General features: G+C 38.3%; 1 long non-coding RNA gene across 1 annotated transcript in view; it reads left to right on the forward strand.

Moving 5' to 3' along the window:
• The window catches only part of LOC107986150 (uncharacterized), a 35,884-nt gene that overhangs the window by 10,912 nt on the left and 14,302 nt on the right, over positions 1–10,670 (forward strand). Inside the window, exon 2 of the long non-coding RNA XR_007096152.1 lies at positions 2,034–2,076. This is a non-coding gene — a long non-coding RNA (uncharacterized LOC107986150). The remainder of the gene's footprint in view (positions 1–2,033; positions 2,077–10,670) is intronic.

Consider the following 10,670-nt stretch of genomic DNA (forward strand, 5'->3'; position numbering starts at 1 on the left):
TCTGAGTCCAGGTTGCTTAGGGCCCTGATCAGGAGTTCTGCCCTGTCTGACACCAGGATTTGATCTGACCTGTCTTATCTTTGATGGAGAAAGACCTAGAATATCAAAATTTAGGAATGTAGCCCTAATCTGGCTAACCCTTGCCTAAGTCTTAGTTTCTCATGTGGAGTGATTGGATTTCTGAGGCTAGCTCAAAAGTTGAACAAGCAGAGGGTCTGGATGACCTTGGGTTAGGTTATAGAATGTCTGAAAGTATTCTACAAGAGATGCTTTGTCTTTCATAGTGGCAAAGGGGAAAGGATGGACATGGAATAAGATAAGCCTCTCTTAAATCCAGCTCTACTACCCATTAGTTGTGTGAGGTTGGTTAACTTAACTTCTCTGAGTCTGTTTCTCCATCTGTACAAGAGGTAGTATAATGCTTCCGTCTCAAGTCTTGGCAAGGAAGTTCCTAACACAACCTGTCCTTTCTGTGCTCAATCAAGGTTGGACTTAAGGGAGCATTACAATATGATGTTGATCTTGCTATGGGATTTGCGTTGTATGGAAGAACTAATTATTCACTTTATCTCTGAAGACAATTCATTATTTATAGAATCTGAATATAAACAGAAAAGTTTATTTGTCAGTAAAGTCCTCATAAAAATAAAGCAAGGGAGGGGCAAAGAGGAATGTGTTTACTTTAAGGCAGCTGGAAAAATGAACATAGGTAAATAGGTCCTTTGAAGATACTCTTTTCCTTCTCAGGAAAAAGGCAAACATATTTAGAAGGCTACTCCTTGTTCAGGATACTGATTAGGCTGCTTGGTTAAATAAGGTCTGTAGGAGAACCAAAAGGAAAAAGGGTCTTAAAAGGAACCCCATTCCTGTACTGTTATGGATTTAATTATGTCTCTGGGTCACAGTTTCTCCATACGTAACCCCTAAATAGCACTTTTTGTCACATATCTCGGACTTGATGTGAAATTTGATGTGTTCAGTTTTCTCCTAATTTATATAGTTGCAAAAATTTTACTTAAAAAGAATAGTGTTTATGTGTATTTTTTGTAATTTGAAGCAAAGTACGCTGTCCAAGAAAACCTTATAGTTTATGAGAAGATTGATATGTGAATGACTTAACAGCAAAATACATTAAATGCTTGTCATAACAAAAATTGGCAGGAGTCTTAGAAGAACCTAGAGTTGGATGATCAGCTTGGTTCATAAAAACTTCTAAAGGAAATTTCAAAGACTAATGACTTCACTGAGCTTTTTCAACCAATATTGAAAAAAGCTGGTATAAAATGATTCAAGGGGTATATGCTGCACTGCAAAACAGCTTTGCTTCATATCATTTGCCTTTAATGTTTCCCAAGAAAAGGACATGCTTGTAAATACTTAATGGTTGTCCTTAGAGAGGAAAAACAATTCCAACAGTCAGGACATCAGAGTGGTTGAAAAGTATTCATGCAGGAAACTGAATGATGTACTTTATTTATGGATTTTCATAATTGGCATTGAAACACCGCTACTTTGCTGGCTCAGCTTTTTAATGTATGAGATCAGTCACTTGTAGGAGGAAAGAAGAATGAATGTGCCTCTGAATGTGGGGTGCTCTCTTTTAATTAAGAAACTTCAGAGGAAAGAGATGACAATAGGCAAAGATGAAACAAGTTAAAAGGAGCAGGCAGAGGATAGAGAAAACTGCATCTCATGCAGTTGACATTTATGTGGCACTTGTCTGGTTTGGACTTTTTGTAGGAGAACATTTTTTTTCAGAATTTATTTTATGTATCACTCATAAGTATTGCATAAATTCCATATTTATTTATACTGTAGGTCTGTCTCCCCTTCCAGGCATAAAAAAGGACACTTTTAATTTCAGGTGACAATGGAGCATACAATTTTAGCTACTTGCTTAAAAGTTAACATTTATTGAGTGTTTTTTATGTGCCAGGCATTGGAATCATCTATATGTATAAAATTTTATTTATGTCTCATAGCAACCATATGAGGAAAGTATGATTATTATTTTTATTGTTCCTGTGTTACAGATGAGGAAACTGAAGGCAAGAAGTTGCCAAGTTTAGACAATTGGTAAGTAACAGATGTCAAAGCTATGGCTTTATACTATATTGAGCTTCTTGATGGTGGAGGTTCCATCTCATACTTTTTTGATACTCAGCTCAGTGTCTGCAATAGAGTGTTTGTTGAATAATCTACAGAACCTAAATATTTTTAAAGGGACTTTTGCAAAACAGCTAGTATCCTTAGATCCTTTTTTCCCCCATGTACATAATCAAGAGCTGGAGATTATTAAGGAAAAATTTGGACTTCCTTTTTGGACATGTTAACTTCGACATTCAAATGTAGATGTTTGTTCAATAATTATATTTATGAAGCCAGAGCTCAGGAGATAAATTGGAGCTGGAGAAATAAATACGGTTGTCATCAGTGAATAGAAGCATTTAAAATCATGAGTGAGATGAACACTGTGATGGCGTGGAGTGTGAGTGTGAGTGGGGAAGCTGGAAATGTGAAGAGGGCTAAAGACTTAGCCCTAGGCTGCTATCATTAGCAACTGAGCATAGAAGAAAAAAAGTGAGTTGGAAATGGAAAACTAGGAGTGAAAAGTCATAGGTGCTAAGAGAAAAAGGTGATTTGGGCAGATGAGTGTGGGCAGCTGAATCAAAATGGTGTGAGAGGTCAGGTTAGATGAAGACAAAGCACTGACCGCTGGGTTTAGTGTGGCCAAGGCGATTGGTAAGAGTTGATTCATGGGTATGGTGGGGATGAGAGAGGAGCAGAGTGGGCTGGAAAAAGAATGGAAGCTGAAGATTAGTCAATTCCTTAGAAGTTTGCTGTAAAGGGGAGATGAAGGAAGCTGAATGGGGTCATAGGATCAAGGGAGAGTTGTCTTCTTGAAAAATAGATGACAGTAAGGCATATTTTATGCTCAAGGGAATAATCTGGTAGTGCAGAAGAAACTGAAGATGTAGGAAAGAGAGGGGAGAATTGCTAGAATGTTGTCCTTTAGGAGGCAAAGGGGGGAGGAGAGCAGGACTCCAGTGCCAGGGGAGAGGGACCATTGGAGAAGGGACACTTCTTCCATTGGTCCAGGAGAGAAGGCAAGATAGGTGGTGCTGATGAGAAATATTCCTCCCTTACATTCATATTACTAAACTTGCAAGAGCTGATGGATTTTGCACATGCCAAGTGATACACGTTTCTTCTCTGAATAAATGCATATGTACAGAGAAAATATTCAGTCTGAAAGTGCATGCAAGAAATAAGTAAAATTTAATAGTCAAAGGCAATCTTATGATCAAACCAACATTTAGGGTTGAACTTTAACTGCTTACTACTTCTGTGGCTGTTACCTGAGGTTAAAGGAAGAAATTTGCCATAAAAATTAATGTAACAAAATCTTTAATAAAATGCTAAAATGTGAAAAATTTTAAATCAGGAATTATGTCTGTTTTTGCTCAAAGAAATTAAATCTTTATAGATATTATAGAAATAATGGTGGCTATAACCAATTGTAACTTCTGTGAACTGAGAACCATATCATGTTCCCAGTACTTTTCAAATATTTGTGCTGATCTTCACAGCAAAACAAACAGAGTAGTTTTACTACAGTTTGACAAGTGAGAAAACTGGCAGTGAGGTTCTGCAAGGTTTAATGATTTGCTCAAAGTCACCCAGCTGGTAAGGTGATGTTTAAATTAAAGCTCATTCTGGATTCAGAATTGCTTTTCCTAATGCACTGTCTTGATATATAAATGTTGTGATGTAAATAAAGTCCCTATTTAATGTGTGAAAAACTTTTGGCTCAAAAAAACAAACTTGCTCAAATATCTATAGAATTGCACTTATTTGCACAAACTACTCATTTTTTCTTCTAGTCTAGTGTATAAATTCAGCTAGAAGGAAAGAAGGAATGAAGGAGAGAAGAGGGAAGGAGAAGAGGGAGGCTAAGATATCATCATTTGTCTGATTTATAAGGTTAGCAAAGTCAGTGACTACTGGTGTGTCTTTTCACCCTATCATATATGCAAAGGGCTACCACGTATTTTGTATTTTGAGTCTGACTTGATTTTTAAGCTATTTTTATCACTGTGGTTTCACAACATTTGTGGGATCTTTAAGTTTTAAAATGTGGTTAAAACATGCATGTTCCCTGTGTTCTGTCAACTACTGAGATATTTACTGAGCCTGTTTCTGCTTCTCTGCCTCAGGACCTGTGTATTAGTTCATTCTCATGCTGCTATAAAGAACTGCCTGAGATTGGGTAATTTATAAAGAAAGGAGGTTTAATCGACTCACAGTTCCACATGGCTGTGGAGGCCTCAGGAAACTTACAATCATGGTGGAAGAGGAAGCAAACAAGCCCCTTATAAGACCATCAGATCTTGTGCCAACTCACTCACTACCATGAGAACAGCGTGGAGAAACCACCCCCGTGATCTAATCACCTCCCACAAGGTCCCTCCCCCAACACGTGGGGATTACAATTTGTATCACAATTCAAGATGAGATTTTGAGTGGGGACACAGCCTAAGCATATCAGCCTGAATGCTTCCCACCCCACCACCTTGGTTATAAAAGGCCTACTTCCTCAGCTGGTCATTGGCAGCTGAGGGCTCAGTCACATTTCACAACAGAAGCCTCCTGTCTGGGGTCCCTCTTCCACAGCTTTTTCCTACTGGATGTCCACCATGTTTCCTGGCTGTGTAGGAATCACTGACCTTCCTGGCTGTTTGGAGACTTTCTAGTTTATGGGTCCTACATTTGCAAGACAGAATTCAGAAAACTTTCTTCAGCTTTCTTTACAGCTATTCACTCCCTCTCATGACAGCTGGATTAGAAGTGGGCAACTGGTGGAGGGTGGATCCATGAGGAGTTCACTTTGCTAGCAAGAGTGGTGACTGAGACTGCCTGTTCTTGGGAGTGGCAGGGGTTGCAAAGTTAGGCTCCTGGCACAGAAGTGGCTTTGATGGTGTGGTGGTGGCAGTGGGGTCAATTTCCTTATCTGGCCAGTTCTGTGGCATAGTTTTGAGTGTTTTTTCTAGAAGTTTAGTCTTGAACCTGCTTCTCCCACCCTTCTAATGATTTTGTGAGTGATCTAATGTCCTTCTGAAAAACTGTTGTTTCCAAAGAAGATCATCACCAGATGTACCCCTTCAATCTTTCTTCTACAATGAAGCCAGAACAACCTCTTAGGAACATAAGTCTGCCCCTGTGCCACCTAACAACCACAATTTATTTTCTTTCCATTGTTCTCAGAATACCACATTTTATAGAACTGAGAGTTCTGTCTTTTGAAAGGCACACCTTATTTTGTGAACTACCAGGAAAGAAAATGCTGCTATGTCACATCTTTGATTGTAGCAGGTATCCTGGTTTCAGAGCTGTTGAAATGAGGTGGGGTGGGCAGTGTCTTAGAAGTGAGGAAATGTGGTAACATCTCACATCTTTGATGTGGCCTTCTAAGGCTGGGAATTGATGTGACATGCTCCTCCCTCTCCTCTTGTGCCTCTTTACTCTTTGCCCTCTCACTAACTCTCAAGAGGGTCTTTTCTCCCTCCCTGGAAAGGTTATGCTTTCTTATCTGTGCTGTTTCCCTTGCCCACTTCTTAACATAATTACTATTCCTTTCTAATGCCTTAGCTTAAATGTCATTTCCTCAGAGAAGTCCTCCCCGAACCCTCGCATTCTTCCTTCCTCTAATATTAGCACAGTACTTAGCCTTTGTTCAGCATTTACTATCTGCTGGGCTCAGTGCTAAGCACGTTACATATATTGCCTCATTTAATCCTCACTACAAACTTGCGAGATAGATGCTATTTTTTTGGTCAGTTTTCAGAAGAGAAAACTGAAGCTTAGAACTGTGCAGTAACCTGCCCAACGTTTCACAACCAGAAAACAAGGAGAAGGAGCCAGGATTCACACCCAGGCCTGGCTCATCATGCTGCTGGGCTGCCTCTCTATTTACTCACAGGTGATCAGCAGGTCTGTTATGTAATCTCAGACTGTACAGTTGAAATTATTTAAGTATTTGTATAAAATAATTATCTAGTAAGGATGCCAAATTCCATGAAGACAGTGATAGTAGATCTTGACCACTCTGGCGCATATTAAGTGTCCAGCTAATCTTTATTTTTAAAATTTTAATTGTAGAAATGTACAAATGCATGTAAAACTAAAAATAATAGTATCACAAGTCCTCATATCTCTTGTTCCTGCTTCATCAAAAATCAATTCCTGGCCAATCTTATTTCATCTCTGTCCCCACTTCCTCTCCCTTGCTACTAGATTTTTTTGAAGCAAATCCCAGAGATCATATCATGTCATCCATTAGTATTTCTGAAAGGTAAAAGTTATTTTTAGGGATATAACTTTAATACCATTACCACATGTTTAAAAATTAACAATAATTCCTTAGTCAGTATTCAATTCATCCCAAATATTTCATGAATAATTTTTACAATCAGTTCACTCCAATCCAAGCAAAGGCTGCACAATGTAGCTGGTTGAATTGTTTCTGAAATCTCTCTTAATTTATAGTTTCTACAGCCTCATTTTTCCACCATCTTGCAATTCATTTGTTATTTGTCCTGTAGACTTTTCATATTCTGGATTTTGCTGATTACATCACAGTGCTTTTGGTTTAACATGTTTCTTTGACCTGGTGTTTCTTGGAAATTGTTGATGCTTGATCAGATTCAGCAGTATGAAAGCAGGCCCATATGCCATACACCTCAGTATTTTAAAGTTATAAAGCTCTGTCCAGACAGATGACCATTTCCACCCCCAGTTTTTCTCCTAGAGCTGAAAGAGTCATGTGCTCCTGGGGAAGAATTAATGCCCCAGTAGTCACCATGATCTGCAGGGGCACAACAGAGTGAAGTCAGTGACTCAGTGACTAGTTTCTCACAAAACAGACTTTAAACCAACAAAGATCAAAAAAGACAAAGGCATTACATAATGGTAAAGGGATCAATTCAACAAGAAGAGCTAACTATCCTAAATGTATATGCACTCAATACGGGAGAACCCAGATTCAAAAAACAAGTTCCTAGAGGCCTACAAAGAGACTTAGACCCCCACACAAGAATAGTGGGGGACTTTAACACCCCACTCTCAATATTAGACAGATCATTGAGACAGAAAATTAACAGGGATATTCAGGACTTAAACTCAGCTCTGGATCAAGTGGACCTCATAGATATCTACAGAACTCTCCACCTCAAAACAACAGAATGTAAATTCTTCTCAGTGCCACGTGGCACTTACCCTAAAATCAATCACATAATTGGAAGTAAAACACTCCTCAGCAAATGCAAAAGGACTGAAACCCTAACTAACAGTCTCTCAGACCACAGCACAATCAAATTAGAACTCAAGATTAAGAAACTCACTCAAAAGCACACAACTACAAGGGAATTGAACAACTTGCGCCTGAATGACTCCTTGGGCAAATAATGAAATTAAGGGAGAAATCAAAGAGTTATTTGAAACCAATGAAAACAAAAAGACAACATACCAGAATCTCTGGGATGCAGCTAAAGCAGTGTTAGGAGAGAAATTTATAGCCCAATGCCCTCATCAAAAAGTTAGAATGATCTCAAATCAACACCCTAACATCACAACTAAAAGAACTGGAGAGCCAGGAGCAAACAAACCCCAAAGCTAGCAGAAGACAAGAAATAACCAAGATTGGAGTAGAACTGAAGGAGATAGAAACACGAAAACCCTTCAAAAAAATAAATGAATCCAAGAGCCGGTTTTTTGAAAAAATTAATAAAATAGACCACTAGCTAGAATAATAAAGAAGAAAAGAGAATAATCAGACACAATAGAAAATGATAAAGGGGATATCACCAATGAACCCACAGAAATACAAACAACCATCAGAGTATACTATAAACACCTCTATGCACATAAACTAGAAAATCTAGAAGAAATTGATAAATTCCTGGACACATACACACTCCTAAGACTGAACCAGGAGAAATTGAATCTCTGAATAGACCAATAACAAGTTCTGAAATTGCAGCAGTAATAAATAGCAAAGCAACCAAAAAAAGCTCAGGACCAGGTGGATTTACTGCTGAAATCTACCAGAGATACAGAGGAGCTGGTACCATTTTTTTCTGAAATGATTCCAAACAACTGAAAAGGAGGTACTTCTCCCTAACTCATTTTATGAGGCCAGCATCATCCTGATATCATAACCTGAGAGAGATACAACAAAAAAAGAAAACTTTAGGCCAATATCCCTGATGAACATTGATGCAAAAACCCTCTACAAAATACTGGCAAGCTGAATCCAGTAGCACATCAAAAAACTCATCCACCATGATCAAGTCAACTTCATCCCTGTCATGTAAGCCTGGTTCAACATATGCAAATCAATAAACATAATTCATCACATAAACAGAACTGAAGACAAAAAACACATGATCACCTCAATAGATGCAGAAAAGACCTTTGGTAAAATTCAACATCCTTTCATGTTAAAAAGTCTCAATAAGCTAGGTATTGATGGACATAGCCCAAAATAATAAGAGCCATTTATGACAGACCCAAAGCCAATATCATACCAAATGGTCAAAAGGTGGAAACATTCCCCTTGAAAACCAGCACAAGACAAAGATACGCTCTCTTACCACTCCTATTCAGTGTAGTATTGAAGTTCTGGGTAGAGCAATCAGGTAAGAAAAAGATATAAAGGATATTCAAATAAGAAGAGAGGAAGTCAAACTGTCTCTGCAGATGATATAATCTTATGTCTAGAAAACCCCATCATCTCAGCCCCAAAGCTTCTTAAGCTGTTAAGAAACTTCAGCAAAGTCTCAGGATACAAAATCAATGTGCAAAAATCACAAGCATTTCTATACACCAACAATAGACAAGCAGAAAGCCAAATCATGAATGAACTCCCATTTACAATTGCTACAAAGAGAGTAAAATACCTAGGAATACAGCTAACAATGGAAGTGAAGGACCTCTTCAAGGATAACTACAAAGTACTGCTCAAGGAAATCAGAGCGGACACAAACAAATTGCATGGGAAGAATCAATATCGTGAAAATGGCCATACTGCCCAAAGCAATTTATAGATTCAATGCTGTTACCATTAAACTACCACTGACATTCTTTGCAGAATTAGAAAAACTACTTTAAAATTCCTATGGAACCTAAAAAGAGCCCATATAGCCAAGACAATCCTAAGCAAAAAGAACAAAGCTGGAGGCATCATGCTACCTGACTTCAAACTATATTACAAGGCTACAGTAACAAAAACAGCATGGTACTGGTACCAAAACAGACACATAGACCAATGGAACAGAATAGAGATCTCAGAAATAAGTCCACACACCTACAACCATCTGACCTTCGAGAAACCTGGCAAAAACAATCAATGGGGAAAGGATTCCCTATTTAATAAATGATGCTGGGAAAACTGGCTAGCCATATGCAGAAAATTGAAACTGGAACCCTTCCTTATGCCTTATACAAAAATTAACTCAAGATGGATTAAAGACTTAAATGTAAAACCCCAAACTATAAAAACCCTAGAAGGAAATCTAGGCAATACCATTCAGGACATAGGCATGGGAAAAGATTTAATGACAAAAATGTCAAAAGCAATTGCAACAAAAGCAAACATTGACAAATGGGATTTAATTAGGCTAAAGAACTCTGCACAGCAAAAGAAACTATCATCAGAATGAACAGACAACCTACAGAATGGGAGAAAATTTTTGAAATCTATCCATCTGACAAAGGTGTAATGTCCAGAATCTACAAGGAACTTAAACAAATTTATGAGAAAAAAACAACCCCATTAAAAAGTGGGCAAAGGACATGAACAGACAGTTCTCAAAAGAAGGCATTTATGTGACCAACAAACATACGAAGAAAAGCTCAACATTACTGATCATTAGAGAAATGCAAATTAAAATCACAATGAGATACCATCTCATACAAGTTAGAAAGATGATTATTAAAAGTCAAGAAACAACAGATGCTGGTGAGGCTGTGGAGAAAAAGGAACACTTTTACACTGTTGGTGGGAATGTAAATTAGTTCAACCATTGTGGAAGACAGTGTGGCAATTCCTCAAAGACCTAGAACCAGAGATACCATTTGACCCAGCAATCTTATTACTGGGTATATACCCAAAGGAATATAAATCATTCTTTATAAGGATATATGCACATGTATATTCACTGCAGCACTATTCACAATAGCAAAGGCATGGAATCAACCTAAACGCCCATCAACGACAGACTGCATAAAGAAAATGTGGTACAAATACACCATGGAATAATACTATGCAGCCATAAAAAGGAATGAGATCATGTTCTTTGCAGGCACATGGATGGAGCTGGAAGCCTTTAACCTCAGCAAACTTATGCAGGAACAGAAAACCAGACACTGCATGTTCTCACTTATAAGTGGGAGCTGAACAATGAGAATACATGGACACAGGGAGAGGAACAACACACATTGGGGCCTGTCGGAGGGGGTTGGGGGAGGGAGAGCATCAGGATAAATAGCTAATGCATGTGGGGCTTAATACCTAGGTGATGGGTTAATAGGTGCAGCAAACCACCATGGCACACATTTACCTATGTAACAAACCTGCACGTCCTGCACATGTATCCTGGAACTTAAAATAA

Source organism: Homo sapiens, chromosome 3 (assembly GCF_000001405.40).
Source record: "Homo sapiens chromosome 3, GRCh38.p14 Primary Assembly".
NCBI classification, from domain to species: Eukaryota; Metazoa; Chordata; class Mammalia; order Primates; family Hominidae; genus Homo; species Homo sapiens.